This window comes from Homo sapiens, chromosome 5, assembly GCF_000001405.40.
Source record: "Homo sapiens chromosome 5, GRCh38.p14 Primary Assembly".
Taxonomy (NCBI): Eukaryota; Metazoa; Chordata; class Mammalia; order Primates; family Hominidae; genus Homo; species Homo sapiens.
The window spans coordinates 32,633,002-32,652,580 of record NC_000005.10 but is presented as its reverse complement, the minus strand read 5'-3'; the positions used below and the strand labels follow the sequence as shown (position 1 = coordinate 32,652,580).

Genomic DNA, 19,579 nt, shown 5'->3' with positions numbered 1-19,579 from the left:
ATGTGCGCCACCATACTCAGCTAATTTTTGTATTTTTAGTCGAGATGGGATTTCACCATGTTGGCCAGACTGGTCTCAAACCCCTGACCTCAGGTGATCTGCTCACCTCAGCCTGCCATTTATCTTTTATTTCATTTTTTTGTTATAAAATATAAGTGCCTACTTTTGTTTTAACATATATTAAAAACTGTTTGGTACTACTAATAAATTAAGAAAAGTCCTGGCTGGGCACAGTGGCTCACGCCTGTAATCCCGGCACTTTGGGAGGCCAAGCCGGGGGTGGTGGCACATGCCTGTAATCCCAGCTACTCAGGAGGCTGAGGCAGGAGAATCACTTGAACTTGGGAGGCGGAGGTTGCAGTGAGCTGAGATCGTGCCGTTGCACTCCAGCCTGGGCAACAAGAGTGAAACTCCACCTCCAAAAAAAAAGAAAGAAAAGTCCCAACCAGTGGGATTTTCTATTTGAAACCCTAAAGGTGGGCTTGAAGTAATCATAGAAAGAACCCCAAGTATATTATTAACATTTTAGAATTAAAAGAATTCAGCCAGTCCAATCCTTTCATTTCACAGATGAAAGAGGGCCGGGAAAGTTAAGTGAAGGCTCCTTGCCAACAAAGGAAGTTGAGCCAAAACCAAGGTATTGTGATTCTGTCATTTCTTACTTTAACATATCTTATTATGTTAGCATACCTTATGTTATTAAGAACTTTGGGAATTTTGTTCCTAGTCTGAAGTGTGTAGAGGTATTATTCTGTAATAGTCTGTGACTTAATCTTCTAAATTTAACATCTTATCAAGCAAGTCATTTTAAAAAAACACGACTAAAAATAAATTGCAGGAAAATTTTTTTTTCGTTTTTTGAGACAGAGTCTGTCTCTGCGGCTGGAGTACAGTGGTGCAATCTTAGCTCACTGCAACCTCCCAGGTTCAAGCGATTTTTCTGCCTCAGCCTCCCGAGTAGCTGGGACTGCAAGGGTGCACCACCACACCAGGCTAATTTTTGTATTTTTAGTAGAGATGGGGTTTCACCATGTTGGCCAAGCTGGTCTCGAACTCCTGACCTCAGGTGATTCGCCCTCCTCAGCCTCTCAAACTGTTGGGATTACAGGAGTGACCCACCGTGCCTAGCAGAAAATAATTTTTAATACTCTCTTAGTCCCTTGGGTTCTATTTGTTTGATTTATCCTTTCCTAGAGAATCACTCATTTTCTTAGGAGTCCCTGTGTTTCATAGTCTCATTGTGAGCATGCACTCTTCTATTTATCAACGGGAGTTATTTTTAAGCTGCTAGAGTTACGGATATCAAACAGAGGCTTTGGTTGACACATCTTTTACACATCTGGTTACTGGGCTTTGGGGAAAGATTCACACTGTGTAAAATTTACATTGGAGTGGCTGTAGACATATTTTCCTCGCATAAAATCCTGAAGGCCTCTGGTTTCATGCAGCTATTCAAAGATGGTGAAGCAAAATAATGGATTGCTTTATTCTTTTGAACAAGAAAAAATCATGCAGACAGTTAAAAATCAAGACAAATAAACACAAATCGCAATACCTAAAGGGCTTTCTGTATTATGGAAGAAACTTTGTGCACACAATGCACAGAGCCTCAAGGCTGGAGTAATCCTTAAACCTCAGATGCATACTAGCCCCGCATGGATGTCACTATGGACAGGGCAAACATGCTGAGGACTGGCATGGAATTGGGACTCCAGGCAGCTTTAGAATGTTTAGGATTAAGGAGAGAAAGAGGGTGTTCTAAAATGTACCCAGGGCCAGGGCACATGCCTGTAATCCCAGCACTTTGGGAGGCCAAGACAGGAGGATCATTTGAGGCCAAGAGTTTGAGACCAGCCTGGGCAACATAACGAGACCTCATCTGTACAAAAAATAAAATTAAATTAAAATATTAGCTGGGTGTGGTGGCATGTCCCTATAGTTCTAGCTACTCAGAGGCTGAGGCAGGAGGATCACCTGTGCCCAGGAGTTCAAGGCTACAGTGAGCTATAATGGTGACATTACACCCCAGTGTGGGTGACAGAGTGAGACCCTGTCTCAAATAAAATAAAATAATAAAATAAAACAATAAAATGAGATAAAAGTACCTGAGATTTGTTTTAATCAGGTGTGGTAATATGACAGATACAGGGACAAATGCCTTTGAAAAAAGACGTTATTATTTACATTTTCCAACATAAGGGGGTCATGCCATGCAAGGCAGAGTCACACAGGGAAATACTGAGGTCCTCAGAAGACAAGAGCAAAGGAGAAAACACGGCCCAGAGCTATTATTGTCATTTCCTTGGAAAGGAGTGAATAAGGCAAAGTAGGCAGGTTTGAGCAAGTATAGGATTGGATAGTACATGTGACACATGTTTTTTCTTTTTTGAGACGGAGTCTGGCTCTATCGCCCAGGCTGGAGTGCAGTGGCGCGATCTCGGCTCACTGCAAGCTCCGCCTCCTGGGTTCACGCCATTCTCCTGCCTCAGCCTCCAAAGTAGCTGGGACTACAGGTGCCCGCCACCACGCCCGGCTAATTTTTTTGTATTTTTAGTAGAGACGAGGTTTCACCGTGTTAGCCAGGATGGTCTCGATTTCCTGACCTCGTGATCCACCCGCCTCGGCCTCCCAAAGTGCTGGGATTACAGGCGTGAGTGGCCGCGCCCAACCGAAACGTTTTTTCCTTGAAAATGTTTCCCTTCCCTCTCTGCCATGCTCCCAACTTTCTGCCTTCTTGGGGCTTCTCACTGTCTGGGTAACTAAGTCTTGGGCCCAGCTGGACCTTGGGTAGTGGCCCCTCTGCCACAATCAGTGCCTGAGCCTGAGGCTGAGCTTGTGGCCTCCGAAGCCTGACCTGGCTTGGAGCTTGTCTGTGGCACTCAGGGGTGGAAGCCAGGCTCACAGGTCACTGGTAAAGCCTGAAGACACTGGCCTGAGGTGAGGGGAGGGTGCTGCTCCACTCTCTGGAGGATCTCAGAATTCTCACTTCTTGCTAGGACTGAGCCGTGGGACAGCCATACTTCACTTTACCCAGTATTTTTCTTTTTGAAACAGAGTCCTGTTCTGTTGCCCAGACTGGAGTGCAGTGATGCAATCATGACTCCCTGCAGCCTCGACCTCCCAACCATAAATGATACTCCCACTTCAGCCTCCCCAGTAGCTGGGACCACAGGTGTCCACTACCATGGCAGGGTAATTGTTTAAAAAAAAAATCTGTAGAGACGGGGTCTCATCATGTTGCCCTGTCTGGTCTTGACCTACTGGGCTCAAGCGATCCTCCTGCCTTGGTCTCCCAAAGTGCTGGGATTACAGGCATGAGCCACTGTGCCCGGCCACACTTTTCCAAATTATAAGCAGCTAGGATGGCCCTATTTCTCGTCGGCTCCTAACACACTTTTAAGAGTACATTCTTATTGACTCTAGCTCATGTGGACCACAGATGAGCTCCAAGCCAGGTCAGGCTTTGGAGGCCACAAGCTCAGTCTCAGGCTCAGGCACTGATTGTGGCAGAGGGGCCACTACCCAAGGTCCAGCTAAGCCCAAGACCTAGTTACCCACACAGTGAGAAGCTCCAAGAAGGCAGAAAGTTGGGAGCATGGCAGAGAGGGAGGGGAAACATTTTCAGGGAAAAAACATGTGTCACATGTCTTTAGAAGCAAGTCAGGTTTCACGTAACCGAGTGTCCTCATGGGTGTCCAAAAGTAGCCCAGGGCTGTAGCACAGGCTTAACAGTGATTTTGTGTTCATCCATGAGTCACACTACATGACCCCATGAAGCTGGGCATTGGTGAAGTCCAAGTTGTCCTTGAGTAATAAAAACATATGTTGCAAAAAAGAAGTGTGTTATGAGGGTCAGGCTTGGTGGCTCACACCTGTAATCCCAACAATTTGGGATGCCGAGGTAGGCCGATCACCTGAGGTCAGGAGTTCGAGACCAACCTGGCAAACATGGTGAAACCCCATCTTTACTAAAAGTACAAAAATTAGCCAGGTGTGGTGGTGCTTGCCGGTAATCCCAGCTACTCAGGAGGCTGAGGTAGGAGAATCGCTTGAACTGGCAGGCGGAGGTTGCAGTGAGCCAAGATCACACCACTGCACTCCAGCCTGGGCAACAGAGCAAGACTCCATCTGAAAAAAAAAAAAGTGTGTTATGAGAGTAGATCTCATGTTAAGTGTTCTCACCGCAATAAAATACAATTTTTAAAATGAGAGAGAAAATATTTTCAATAAAGAACTTCATCTGCTAAAAAAAAAAAAAAAGGCTGGAAGAATATGCACCAAGATAGGATCCATAGTTGTACAGGTTGTGGGGCTGTAGGTGATTTATTTTCTTCTTTTTTCTTACTTGTGTCTTTAAAGTTTCTATAATAAGTATTATATTGTTTTATTAAAATGAGAAAATAAAAAAATCATTTGCTTTCATTTTACTAGAGTTTCTTTCCCCTAAGATATTTTCTTCTCTTGTCAGTTTTGCCAGGTCCCAAAGCTCAAGTGGCCAGGCAGCAGAAACCATAGCCTGGACCTGCTGCGGCGCCATTTCTTATTTCAGGCCCCATTCAAAACTGGTACCTCATGGGCTGCCCGCTAAATGAGTCAAAGCAACCCAAATGGGGTATAAGTACCTCCGAATTCCAAAGAGGCTCACCAAGCTCTGGGCCTCATTCTGAGCAAGGCAAGGTACAACAACCTGTCTTTCAATTTAGAAGAAATATCCCCAAATACCCAAATCACTGGACTCTAGAAAATCTCAAGATGGCAAGGCCCTAAGCTTTCTTTTTATTTTTCTTCCTGTGGCATACATGTGTCTTGCTACGGCAGCAAAGAAGTTTGCTACTTCCTGATCATGAAGTTGATTAACATAATTTTATCAACTGTGGGATATCATAATGATCCAGAATCCTCCAAACCATATTACAATAGAAAGCAGAACTGGCTTAGCCCCAGGACTAAGCATTGGACCAGGATGTATATTCCAAATGCAGTACTTTGGAAAATATAATCTGTCACACCATGGCTGAGTCCAGATTTTAATCAGCCAATTTAGCACACTATTAATTTGACTCCTAGGAACTAAAGCCAACACATTAAATCCAGAATCCTGAATGAGTCCTTCTACATTAATAAATTTAAGCAAAAGAGCTTTCAATGATGTTCTTTTTGGTCTAACACCTTTAGAATCCACGCTCACGTATGCTCCCCAAACTTCCATCAACACTGATCAGCGTCATAACTCTGCGCATAGGCTCTCTCTCCAACCACCAGGCTTTGTACCTCTCCATCTGGGCTCTTTTGGGTTTTAACTCTTGTTATAGGCCTAGAGGTGATGAGTGGTACCATTAGCATGGGAGGCAACTGCCAGGTGTTCCCATTTAAAAGACTTCTTGCAGAGAACAGTTTGTTTCTGTGCTAGCGAGAGAGTTAAGAGGAATTTACAGGTCCCAAGTTCTCAACTTTGTCCATATCTGCCCAAATGTCCTCATCCCATGGCTCATGCCTAAATCAAGCCAACCAGTGTCTCTACCCTAGGGTAAGAAGTATAGCAGGTTTTAGCCTTTAACTGGTGCAGAAATGTTTCCCCCTTGACCCCTTAGCTTTATCAATGCTGCAATTACAAAAGATGTAGGATTCCCTCAACGCTGCCATGGGGCCTTCTGGTTCCCTATATGTATTCTTAATTTTGCATTCATAGCTTTTCATTCCTCTTGTACCATCTAGGTTTGTCAAAAGAAGCCAGATGACTCCACAGTCTTTACATCACCACTCCATCACCATAGCCACTAAGTCCCATAGCCACTGGATGTTCCCACACCTCTCCCTCCATCTGCACTTCATGGCTTGATACCTTGCAGTGATGATATGAGTAATCATGATGCCACCATGTACCAAGAATTACCCACATCCTATTTTCCCCTTACCCCTCTGAAGGAAATAACCTCTGTGTTCTTGAACATATACACAACCCAATCCCAAAATCCTGCTTTGAGATTCTGTTTTCGGAGCATAAATTGAACCAACTTAAATAATAACAGGGTGCTGTCCCTCAGTTCAATAGTCCCACGTAGCACACCAGAAATATAACAGATGACAACTATTCCTTGCATTTTACATATGCTGGATTTTCCATTCTGTATCCATGGCAACCAAGGTACAAAACTTAGTCTCAGTTTCTATTTTTAAAATCAAACTACAACGATCATTTTGTGAAATTTTGGTAGTCTTTGACGAATATTGTGGCGTCAACCAAAAGGATCATATTATATAACTTTTCACCCTAAAATCTCCACTCTGTCATTCCTTGGCTTCCAAACACTGTCTTTCCCCCTACTTTGCCAGCAGGAATTTCTCTTCTCTTTCTACTCCAACTCAGCTATTAATTAAGCACTCCCTTGGGGATGTTGCATTCCAGTTGAAGCAGAATATCAACATACTTCTTCCATACAAATTCAACATTTTTCCAAGAAAAATATGAGTGATTTATATTTCTTTTCTCTTATTACTTTTGCATCCTCAGCATATAGCTCAATGACTGTCAAACGTCAAAATCATAATAACAATACTTTATATTTGTAATGTTTGCTATGTGTCTTATGTGTATTATCTCATTTAATCTTCACAACAATACCATGAGGTATATACCATTATTATCCTCAATATTACGAGGAAATCATGACAAAGCTGAGGCTTAGAGAGTCCAAGTAACATACTCAACGTTATGCTTAGCTGGTAAGTGAGACAGCCATCTCTATTTGATCCTAAAGCCATAGGCACCACAGCTCTTTCAACAGTGTTGACAGAATACAGCCAGATGAGGAGCCCCAATAATGGCTACACATATTTTTTAATTCTTATGACTTCAGTTTCACATATTTGGGTGACCCCAAACAAAATTCCCTAGCATTGTCACTAAGCCTTTTTGCCAGATGTCTACTTTTTATGACTCTGCCAACGGCTGCATGTAACAGAAACCAACTCTGGCTAAATTAACCAAAAATAACAGGATTTGTTGAAAGGTAAATGGTGGCCACAGAACTAAAGCAACCACTGATCAGCCAGTCTTGAGAAGGACAGAATCCAGTCAAAACCAGAGAATGACGTCGCAGGAACTAATGGGACAGCCTCTTGGGGCCGCCACCATTGGGATGAATCAGCTTCAACTATTTTCAGTTCTTGTGTCACTCCACTTCAAGCCTCAAATTCCAGCGAGAGTCTGGCTGACATCATTTGGATCCCCTGTCTAGCCCTTGGCCTGGGGATAGGGGATGAAGGGGATGGGGCTCTGTGATGGACAGTTCCACCAAGATTGCATTCCAGAAAGAAACACAGAAGGGCACTAACCAAAAGGTTTCATGGGTGCTGGGCAGACAGATACAAGATGTCTGCTACAGTGGCTTTAACACATCCGTGATCGGAGGAGCAAGATTTATCCTATTGGAAACATTCAAAAAGATGCACTATAGAGGCAATTCCTAAAGAAACAGTCCAAAATGCTCAGAGCACTGTTTCTCAAAAGGATCACTTTTTTTAGTTAACAAAGGATCAGTGTGAAGTTGTATCAAAAGGATCACTTTTAATTTAAAAAATAAAAATGTTTAAAAGAAAAGCTCTCACGGACCCTCTAGAGTTGTCTTAAAATACTTTTTACTGCAAGATTACTTAGGTGTGTACCAACATAAAACCAGGGGTAATGATCCTTGGATTTATAGCACTTATAAAATTATAAATCCACGATAAATTTTAATGCAATTCAAATGAAATGACAAAACCACTATGATTCAAATTACCCATATAAGTTTAACTTGACAAATGATACTTTTCTGAAACTGATCTGCTGCTCCCAATGTGAATATAGTACAACTGCTACGTTGCAAGTATTTTGGAGTTCAGCACTGCTATGCTATTGCATGTGTTGTGAAGACTCAATTCTCCCACCACGTTATCCCTTCAATCTACTAGAAAACCTTGGGATAAGCAGAGCCAAGTCCTTTCTTGGCCTTCCATTTGGTGTGAAAATATCTCTGCTCTTTTATTTTATTTATTTTTTTTTCTTTTTGAGACAGAGTCTCGCTCTGTTGCCAAGGCTGGAGTGCAGTGGCGCGATCTCGGCTCACTGCAACCTCCGCCTCCCGGGTTCAAGTGATTCTCCTGCCTCAGCCTCCTGAGTAGTTGGGATTACAGGCACCCACAACCATGCCCGGCTAATTTTTGTATTTTTAGTAGAGATGGGGTTTCACCATGTTGGCCAGGCTGGTCTCGAACTCCTGACCTCAAGTGATCCGCCTGCCTCAGCCTCCCAAAGTGCTGGGATTACAGGCATGAGCCACCGCGCCTGGCCTCTACTCTTTTCTTATCAGCCCATGATAAAGTAGTATTATTTGATGGTGAATTGGAATCACAAATGCAAACAGGGGCATAAAAATCCTTTCCAGTGCTCAGTTATGAGATGGTCACCCAGATGATCTATAACATGCTGATATTAAATTTTTTAAGATTTCTTTAAAAATATAAATGTAGATTTTAAACATTCTTATGGAGAACTCATTGTTATCAGAGATGATATCCTTGGAAATCCAAAGGATCATGACATCCAGTTTGAGAAACAGTGGTTTAGAGCAATTACATCATTCTTAGAATCAATGTGTGGCCTCCTAAGATGAACCCTTCAAAGGGTATTACAATTACTCACTTATATAAATTCCTAGATATATATTTGGTGTAAAATTTCCATATGCATTCTGATTGTTCTTATCCCCTTGCTATTTGCATACTGTCATTTCTTTAAAAATACCTTACAGCCTCTTGATAATTGCTATTAAGTAGGTGAAACCTCCAATTTCTATGAATACATTAACCTATTTAGCTTCACTCTCAAATGGTATCCAAACACGTAAATTGAGTTCATAGGGTAGATGTTGGGATTCAGACCATTTCTCCAGTTGTAAAATATGCATCATATAAATATAAACAAGTTAATAAAATTAATTACTAATAATTATCTAGCTATTCCTCTGAGTAACGGCACAGATGGAGAAGTTTACTTTCTACCAATTGTAAAATGCAGTACTTGATTTTGAAATATTTTTGATCCATAAAGGCTAAGTGACATTCTGATTTACTTAAAAAGATGAACTCAACATAACCAAATTTCACATGCATTGACTTTCTAAATAAATTCTAAAAATTATTCTGAATTTTATGGCTGAGTTAGATTAAGAATTATGACAGCTAAAATAAAAGGAAAAAGAACTGCTGTTTGAAAAGAAATGCTTTCATATGTGAGATAAAGATAACTCTGAAAGAAGGTTTAAATTTTACATGTATTTTTCTAAAATAATCTCAAAAAGTTTAATATTAGCATATTATGAATTATCTGGTGTCCATGTATATTATGATGAGAGAGATTTACTGGTAGAATCACTCCCTATCATTATTATCAATCAATAACTTATAGTTATTCCTTGTTTACAAGTGTATTGGAAACATGAAAAAACAGCACTGATAATATTTCAGGAGAGAATAGTTCTCATGTCACCCCCATAAGAAAAAGCAGTCTTGTGTGTGCTAGTTCAACAGGTCAAAATTATTCCCATTAAGTAGATTAAGAGAACTAGTTAATATACTTGGTTTATGAAGAGTGGTTCCCGATGTTTAGTTTCATTTTACACAAACTGTAATTATCCTTAACTTCTACAGTCAGATATTCAAAGAATTTGCCTTTAACAGTAATACATTTAGGATAAAATGTCCTGCCAACATTGTATATCTTTGTATGAAAACTCCCCTGATGAAGTTGGTCATACTCAAAGAATGTAGGGTTGGGCAAGTTAAAGTGTTTGCACAGTTCAAAGTGAAGGAAGAGTTGGGTGATAACACAAAAATTTTTAGAGATTTCTGCATCACTTCTCACTTTTCAATCTCACCTTTTATACTGCCTTATGTGAAAAAAAATTAGAAAATATTGGAAATATCAAGAAATCTATGGATTAACCCTCTGTTAGTGTAAAGTTGGGGGTGAAGGGAGTGTCTTACAGGAAGCATCAAGCATGTCATTGTCTTCACTTTCTAACTCAATAGAAGATAATAAGACTCACCTGCAGGAGTGGAGGCCTGGGTTTCTTTTTCTAGCTCTTTAATTTACTCTGTCATTTTGGCAAGTCATGTGACCTCTTAGGCCTGCCTTCTAGTGAAAATGAAGGTGTTAGTGATTCTCAAAAGGAACAATATTTTCTCCTTTCCCAGGGGCCTTTGGAAATGTGCGGGATGTTTTTGATCATCAAAAAAAACTAAGAGAACTGACCATTGCTAAATGCCCTGTGATGGGAGGACAGTCCCATACAACAAAGAATTGTCCCATCCGAAAACCAACATAGCACTATTAGGAAACTAAACTAGAGCATCTCTAAAGTTCTTTTCACTTTGACATTCGTTTCTTGGGGTTTTGGGGGTTTTCATTTGTTTGTTTGTTTTGAGACAGGGTCTCACTCTGTAGTTTAGCCTCTTAACTAGAGCATCTCCAAAGTTCTTTTCACTTTGACATTTGTTTCTTGGGGTTTTGAGGAGGGGTTCATTTGTTTGTTTGTTTTGAGGCAGGATCTCGCTCTGTAGCCCAGGCTGGAGTGCAGCCATGCAATCTTGGCTCAATGTAACCTCTGCCTCCCGGGCTCAAGAGATCCGCCCACCTCAGCCTCCCGAGTAGCTGGGACTACAGGTGAGCACCACCACGCCCTGCTAATTTTTGTAGAGACAAGTTCTTCCCATGTTGCCCGGACTGGTCTTGAACTCCTGGGCTCAAGTGATCCTCCCGCCTCAGCCTCCCAAAGTGCTGGGATTACAGGTATGAGCCACCATGCCCAGCCACTTTGACATTTCATCATTTTGTTTTATGTCATTGTTTCTTTACAACAATTTTGGATGAACCAGATACCAAAATGCTGTGAGGCAGCATGACACACATGAGGATGCTTATCAAAATAAAGAACCATGGAGTAAAGAATTGGCTTTGTTTGATAGGAATGGAGTGCTCTAGGCAAGATGAAAAGAGGCTCAAATGGGCTATCCCACTCAATTCACACAGCAATCCGATGTAGTATGTCCTATTTTTCCTATTTTACAGATGATTAAATCTACCACAGCTTCAGGGTTTGTTTGTTTTGTTTTGTTTTTCCATTCTAGGTGATGAGAATAAAACTTAATTGCGTGTGTGTGTGTGTGTGTGTGTGTGTGTGTGTGTGTGTGTGTGTTTCTGAAATCGTGGAAAAGAAATACAACATAGAGAAAACATTAAAATACTGCACCTTGGCCAGGCGCGGTGGTCACGGCTGTAATCCCAGCACTTTGGGAGGCCCAGGTGGGCAGATCACGAGGTCAGGAGATCGAGACCATCCTGGCTAACACAGTGAAACCCCGCCTCTACTAAAAATATGAAAAAAAAAAATTAGCCGGGAGTGGTAGCGGGCGCCTGTAGTCCCAGCTACTCAGTAGGCTGAGGCAGGAGAATGGCGTGAACACGAGAGGCGGAGCTTGCAGTGAGCCGAGATCGCACCACTGCACTCCAGCCTGGGAGACAGAGCGAGACTCTGTCTCAAAAAAAAAAAAAAAAACTGCACCTTGTTCTAGGTCCGTTCCCATCTGTCTTAAGGCCTCGTGGCCCAGGGCACCCCACCGCAGCAGGAGGTTTCTGGCAGGCAGCCCGGCCTACATAACCTGAGGCCTCAGAGAAAGGAGAAAGCTCTTCTTCCAGCTTAAGCTGAGGCCCACCTCCTATGTCCCGACCTCCTCCTCCAAATCTAGCCTCTTTTCAGGATGGCTGGTGGCTGGATTCTCCACTCCCTTCAGGGAAAACTCCTCCCTCCACCCACAGGACTGTAGAATTGTTCTTATTCCCCAAAGACATCAGAACACATTTCTATGTTCATATGTTTGCCAAGCGGGTTACTCAGTCTTTAATAACACCATGTGTGGTCAGCCATAATCTCATCCAGATCCCTTTGCTCCAAGCAGAGTTCTTTGGCCCAGTCTGCCCTCCAGCATAAGGAAAGAAAAGATTGTGACCTGAGTGTGTCTCCAGACTCTTGGGGTCTGCACTCCTAATCTGGGAGCAAGGACACCCATTGCCCCAGTGTCCAGTGATGTACAGAACAGCATAGCCTGGATCTGGACCTAGAAAAACCTCTGCTAAAGAAAAGATGACACATGGTGTCTACAGCAATGGCCCCTGTGGGCACAGTCAGACACATCGCCTAGCTCACACCTGTCCATTCCAGAAGAGGGTCTTTGCTCCACGTTTTATTACTAAAGGCCAGTGGTGACTAGTTCCCACACACAAAGGGACAAGCCACTCAACAGACTAAAAGTCAGCAGAGAGGAATCAACACTTTTTCCAGTTTTAGCTCAGCAGGTGTTCAAACGTTGTGGGGCATAATATTAGTCAAGATCACTTGTTACAACTCAACATTCCTTGGATGTCATTCATCACTTGCCTGTGATGTGCCAGGTGGAATGCCAAGTCTTAAAAAACAAGTCTGGACATGGTGACTCAGGCCTGCAATCCCAGCACTTTGGGAGGCCGAGGTGGGAGGATCACCTGAGGTCAGGAGTTTGAGACCAGCCTGGCCAACATGGTGAAACCCCATCTCTACTAAAAATACAAAAATTAGTTGGGCGTGGTGGCACGCGCCTGTAACCCCAGCTACTTGGGAGGCTGAGGCAGGAGAATCGCTTGAACCCAGGAGGTGGAGGTTGTGGTGATCCGAGATCACGCCACTGCACTCCAGCCTAGGCAACAGAGTAAGACTCTGTCTCAGAAAAAAAAAAAAAAAAAAAGTAATTATGAAAAAGCTCCAGACTCAAGGATAAACATGTCTAGAAACTCTCTTACAAGTTCCTAATAAACAAATTCTAGCAAAAAACCTTCACTGCTATCCATCTCTTTGGCAAGCCTGAGAATTCTGATACCAGTAAACCCAAGTCATTCCTGAGAGGTATATTTAGAAAAGGAAGAACGTGGTGGAAATGGGATAGTCAAAAATGGAAAATGAAGGTAAATCATGGAGAATTCTGCAGTGAAGCCCAGGAAGATGAAGGAAGCTGAGAGGAGCCTACGTCCTGGGGATTGCACAGAAGGAAGGAACTGAGACATAAATAGGAGGGTCTGACAGCCAGGGCTGAGCAGTGACACAAAGATGCCCCAGGCAGGACAACAATTTAGCACAGTTTCAAATTAACGCTATTTTTTCAAATGGCTCAACATTTATTTAGTGGGGTTAGGGTTTTTATTATTAAAAAGTACACATAAGCCAGGCACAGTGGCTAATGCCTATAATCCCAGCACTTTGGGAGGCTGACACAGGAAGGTCATTTGAGCCCAGGAGTTCAACAACAGACTGGAAAACATAGGGAGACCCCATCTCTACAAAAATAAAAATAATTAGCTGAGTGTAGTGGAACGAACCTGTAGTCCTAGATACTAGGAAGGCTGAGATGGGAGGATCATTTGAGCCCGGGAGGTTGAGGCTGTAGTGAGCCATGATCACACCAATGCACCCCAGTCTGGGTGACAGAATGAGACCTTGTCTCTTGTTTTTGTTTAGTTTTTTGTTTTTTGTTTGAGACAGGGTCTGGCTCTGTCACCCAGGCTGGACTACAGTGGCACAATCTCAGCTCACTGAAACCTCTGCCTCCTGGGCTCAAGGCATCCTCCCACCTCAGCCTCCCGAGTAGCTGGGACTACAGATGCATGCCACCACGCCTGGCTAATTTTTGTATTTTTTGTACAGACAAGGTCTCTCCATGTTGGCCAGGCTGGTCTCAAACTCCTGAGCTCAAGCAACCTGCCTGCCTCAGCCTCCTAAAGTGCTGGGATTATAGGAGTGAGCCACCATGCCTGGCTGAGACCATGTTTCTAAAAATAAAAGTACCTATAACTCTTCTTCCCCTTCCCTTCTCTTTTCTTCTCAAACCATTCAGTCCTAAAGCTACACAGAACAAGATAGGCATCTTCACCAGGAGACGAAAGAGCCCTGATAGCCCAGAGCAGGGTGCAGAGCCCAACAAGAACAGCGTTCACACGCGGGGGCAGGCCAGTGAGGTGCGTCAAAGCCCCAGCAGGAGGCAGAGGATATCCCTGCCGGAAAGTGCCAGATGGGACGCTGGGGCAAGGGTAAGAAGGAGGTCTTTGTGGAGGGGCCCAGCAAGGGGTGTCAGTACCCTCGGAGCAAGGGGGACACCTACGCAAGGGAAGGCATGGCAGACTGGTTATATGCAGAGGGGTTAATCAAAGGGCTAAAGTGAAGATAATGGAAGCCAGGTTTCTCGTGCGGAAGAGAGGTACAAATATGTAAAGGAATGAATAAGTAAGCCCTATGGTGTTGGATTGGAATTGGAGGTATTGGTGTGAAATCCTGGTTTTCAATAGATACAGGTGGATATAACCAATGTAAATATGTATGTACTTATATACATGCACATACATTAAATCAAGAGAAACTATCCACTAAAAGTGCCTGAGAGCAGCAACACCCCAATAGCAGTGAGCACGCCTAACACCCAAGTCTTGAATTTTATTTATTTATTTATTTATTTATTTATTTATTTTTTTTTTTTTTTTTTTTTTTTTGAGACAGTCTTGCTCTGTCACCCAGGCTGGAGCGCAGTAGTGTGATCTCAGCTCACTGCAACCTCCACCTCCCAGGTTCAAGTGATTCTCATGCCCCAGACTCCCGAGTAGCTGGGATTACAGGCGCCTGCCACCATCCCCAGCTAAATTGTGTGTTTTTAGTAGAGATGGGTTTTCACCTTGTTGGCCAGGCCGGTCTCAAACTCCTGGCCTCAAGTGATCCGCTTGCCTTGGCCTCCCAAAGGGCTGGGATTACAGGCATGAGCCACTGCGCCCGGTCCCTAAATCTTAAATCCTAAATACCATTCTCCACTAAAAGTAATCAGGGCTCTGGTGGGAGATGAGAGAGGGAGAGAGAAAGGTGGGTATGGCTATAAAAAGGCAACAGGAGGGATCCTAGTAGAGAGGGAAAATTCTGTGCCTTGGCTGTGTCCATGTCAATATCCTGGTTGTGATGTTGCACTATAATTTTACAAGATGTTACTATTGGGGTTAACTGGGTAACGTGAAATCTCTATTTCTCACAACTGCATGCAAATCTAGTGATCTCCAAATAAAAAGTTGAATTGAAAAAAAGAAGGAACAAGGGGGTTCTTGAGGAATGGCTGATTTCAGTGTTGGGGCAGGGAAAGTATAAGATAAGCCTGGAACATTTTGTGCTAGAAAGCAAGAAATCTGGCCGGGCACGGTGGCTCACGCCTGTAATCCCAACACTTTGGGAGTCCGAGGCGGGTGGATCACGAGGTCAGGAAATCGACACCATCCTGGCTAACATGGTGAAACCCCGTCTCTACTAAAAATACGAAAAATTAGCTGGGCATGGTGGCAGGCGCCTGTAGTCCCAGCTACTCGGGAGGCTGAGGCAGGAGAATGGCGTGAACCCGGGAGGCGGAGCTTGCAGTGAGCCGAGATCGCACCACTGCACTCCAGCCTGGGCAACAGAATGAGACTCCGTCTCAAAAAAAAAAAAAAAAAAAAAGAAAGAAAGAAATTTTTTTTTTTTTTTTTTTGAGACAGGGTCTGTCTCTGTTGCCCAGGCTGGAGTACAGTGGAAGTAAAATGCCTCTTACTGTATATGTTGTCTCATCAAAGCCAAACAAATCTGCATGCGTATTAATGCAAGTGCAGAAGAGAGAGTGAGGGGACATGTCAAAAGGATGCAGGAGCCAGCCTGAATGGGGAGCCGAAAGAGGGACACTGACTATGGAGACAAAGGGTAGTAGCAATAGTTTGTAACCCAAATACAGGTGCCCATATTCATATGGATAAAACAGTCAATGAATTATAAGTTTAATGAAGTACAGGATATTTACATAACTTTTAAGTCTCTCCCGACAAAATGCTTATAAATAAAAGAGAAACCTCAGGGGGAAAAAAAAAGCCAGGTACGTTGGCTTACGCCTGTGATCTCAGCACTTTGGGAGGTAGAGACGGGAGGACCGGCTGCATATGTACATGAATACACATACACATATTCAGGGCTCTTTCACCTTCTGGTGAATACACATACATTTACAATCAGCTCAGGCAATGTAGGAGACCCCCTCTCTACAAAAAATAGAAAATAAAAAATTAGCAGGCATGATGGCTAACACCTATAGTCCTAGCTTCTCGGGAGGCTGAGGCAGGAGGATTACTTGAGCCCAGGAGTTTGAGGCTGCAGTGAACTATAATAGCACCACTGCTCTCCAGCCTGGGCAACAGAGCAAGACCCTGTCTCTAAAAATAAAATTTTTTTAAAAAAGGGAAAACATTATCTGTACTATACTTACAACTTTTCTGTTTGTGATTAAACATTACATATATGTCATGTAGAAACACCAATTCAATTCTACCGATTAAAACAGTCAATGGTCTGAAAAAATTCAACAAAGTATTTCCAGCTTTGCTGGTAGCTCTTTCCTTTTGGTATTTTCTAATCCTAGCCAATTATTGGGAGGCAAATTAAATAATAAAGTAAATCATTTATAAGGAAGTTGCCTGTGCCACACTTCACTCAGTTTCAGAATTCCAGTTGCCTGGGACTGCTGACAGGATGAGACTGCATGAGGAGGCACTGCAAAAGTATTTAGGACACAGGGCTGGGCACAGTGGCTCACGCCTGTAATCCCAGCACTTTGGGAGGCCGAGGCAGGACAGATCACTTGAGGTCAGGAGTTTGAGACCAGCCTGGGCAACTGGTGAAACCCTATCTCTACTTAAAATAGAATAAATTTAGCCAGGCATGGTGGCGCATGTCTGTAATCCCAGCTACTTGGGAGGCTGAGGTGGGAGGATCACTTGAACCCAGGAGGAAGAGGTTGCAGTGAGCTGAAATTGTGCCACTGCACTCCAGCCTGGGCGACAGAGCGAGACTCTATGTCTATATCTATATCTATATCTATCTATATATTATATATATATTTTTTTTTGTTGCTCAGGTTGATCTCGAACTCCTGGGCTCAAACGATCCTCCTGCCTTGGCCTCCCAAAGTGCTGGGATTACAGGCCCAAGCCACCACGACCAGAGTCAAGTTATTTTGTCTCTACTCAAGGCTGTTTTCTATCTGCACAACCAACTGACCACTGCACCTCTGTATTCCTGTTGCCTGACCACCCTGTGGATTACCGCCCTGAGCAGACACCTGCTTCTACCTCCATTGCCCAGGGTCTGTTGAGTTGGAAGCGTCATATTTGAAACCATGGGCGAGTGTGAGAAATGACTGTCAAGACTCATTTGAAGACCCCACTTGAAGAGACACACGGACCCAGAGGAAGTAAAATGCCTCTTACTGTACATGTTGTCTCATCAAAGCCAAACAAATCTGCATGCATATTAGTGCAAGTGCAGAGGAGAGAAATCCTACAACATTTCAAGCAAGGGGTTGAAAATTTAAATTGTTTGTATCGTACTCATATTACTCTTTTAAGATTTGTAAAATGTTATGAATAATCCTTCTCAGAGCCACGTATGGTCAGGCAGGTTGTGCTCTGCAGTGGGGCGCCTGTCCAATTGGGGCTGTAACCACCCAGAGAAAGAGATGCCTTTTAAATTCCAAACAGAGAAGTTGTATGGCCTAACAGCCACCTTGAATGTATTATCTTTATTGCTTTAACTTTGTGAACAACAAAACAAATTCTATGACTTTTATTTGTTCACTTCTAATTGCACTCCCTCAACTCCATAAAGTCATGTTTTTCATCTACAAATTTTCTTACTCTACAAGGTGTCAGGAACTTCATCCTTGCAATTTTGGAAGACTAAAAAATTAATTCAATATGATACTTGCAGCGTAAGTATACAAAGTATGAGGGGACTATAAAAGAAGGGACGGGGTATTGGATTAAATTTCTAAATGGCAATTACTTTTAAATTTGCCTGAAACATTTTGTATAAGGCAGAAATGTAGAACTGGTGAAGTTGGATTCGCATATCATTATTTGCATAAAGTTCAATTCACTATTCAATATTGCCATAGTGAAGAGATATAATTCTGTATTCATTATAAAATTTTTAACTAACATATTTTTCCATCTAGTTCCATAGAGAAAATTAATGTGTGCTGCATAAGTCTCAGGAGGAAAAAATATATATATTCTGAACTGCTGACTTTATCCTACTAAAGCAAGTTCATGCTGGACTTATATTAGAGAGGTTTGTGGTAAGAACTAGTGTTGGTATGAAATCCCTATTCCTTTTTCAAGTGGGATTTTGCATAAAAAGAAAATGAGACCATGTGCAGTGGCTCACACCTGTAATCCCAGCACTTTGGGAGGCCAAGGCGGGCAGATCACAAGGTCAGGAGTTCAAGACAAGCCTGGCCAGTGTGATGAAACCCCGTCTCTACTAAAAATACAAAAATTTAGCCGGGCATGGTGGTGCACACTTGTAGTCCCAGCTACTTGGGAGGCTGAGGCAGGAGAATTGCTTGAACCCAGCAGGCCGAGGTTGCAGTTAGCCTAGATCGCACCACTGCACTTCAGCCCGGGCGACAGAGCGAGACTCCATCTCAAAAAAAAGAAAAAAGAAAATGAGAGAATGCATTCTCACTGACTGTGCTGTTTAAAAAGACAAGTAAGCAAATTACTAATTTACTAATTATGTAATTATTGAAGAGCTTAAACTTTGGATGCTAAATCAGTTTTAAAGCCAAAATACAGTGTTGAAAAATTATAAATCATTAATTGGCTCTGTATTGAGTCTACTCTATAATGGGAGTAGTTGAAATTCCTTTTAACATTTTATTATTTTTTTAAGAGTTGCTTTTAAAAATAGTTCAAATAGCTATAGTATGTCTTATATTTAGATTTTAAATGAATTATTGCTTTATTATTAAATATTTCAAACTATACAGAGAATATAGAGAATGCTATAATAAACACATGATGCCTACCATTTAGCCATAACAAATATTTTCATTTTGCCATATTCAATTCGGTTTTTTTGTTAAAAAAATGAAATTGGCCGGATGCGGTGGCTCATGCCTGTAATCACAGCACTTTGGGAGGCCGAGGCGGGTGGATCACCCAAGGTCAGGAGTTCGAGACCAGCCTGGCCAACATGGTGAAACCCTGAAACCCCGTCTCTATTAAAAATGCAAAAAATTAGCTGGGCATGGTGGCGCGTGCCTGTAGTCCCAGCTACTCCAGAGGCTGAAGCAGGAGAATCGCTTGGACCCAGGAGGCGGAGGTTGCAGTGAGCCGAGATTGCACCACTGCACTCCCGCCTGGGAGACAGAGCAAGATTCTGTCTCAAAAATAAATAAATAAATAAATAAATAAATAAATAAATAAATAAATAAATAAATAAAATTTAAATTTATCAATGGGGCTATTGTCCTCTGTGTGGCCTTCTCCAATCCCATTCTGTCCCTCCTGTCCAGTGGGACCCAGTACTCTGAAGTGGGGGTCTTTCCATCCCAGGCATATTTTTACACTTTTACCCCCTATGTATATAACCACAGACAATACGATTTTATAACTTGGGGT

General features: G+C 42.6%; 1 long non-coding RNA gene across 1 annotated transcript; it reads left to right on the top strand.

Annotated features, from left to right (window-relative positions):
- Positions 1–557: 557 nt before the first annotated feature.
- Positions 558–18,363, top strand: LINC02061 (long intergenic non-protein coding RNA 2061). The gene is made up of 2 exons (NR_187557.1): positions 558–637; positions 17,032–18,363. It is a non-coding gene; the product is annotated as a long intergenic non-protein coding RNA 2061 (long non-coding RNA).
- The last annotated feature ends 1,216 nt before the right edge of the window (positions 18,364–19,579 follow it).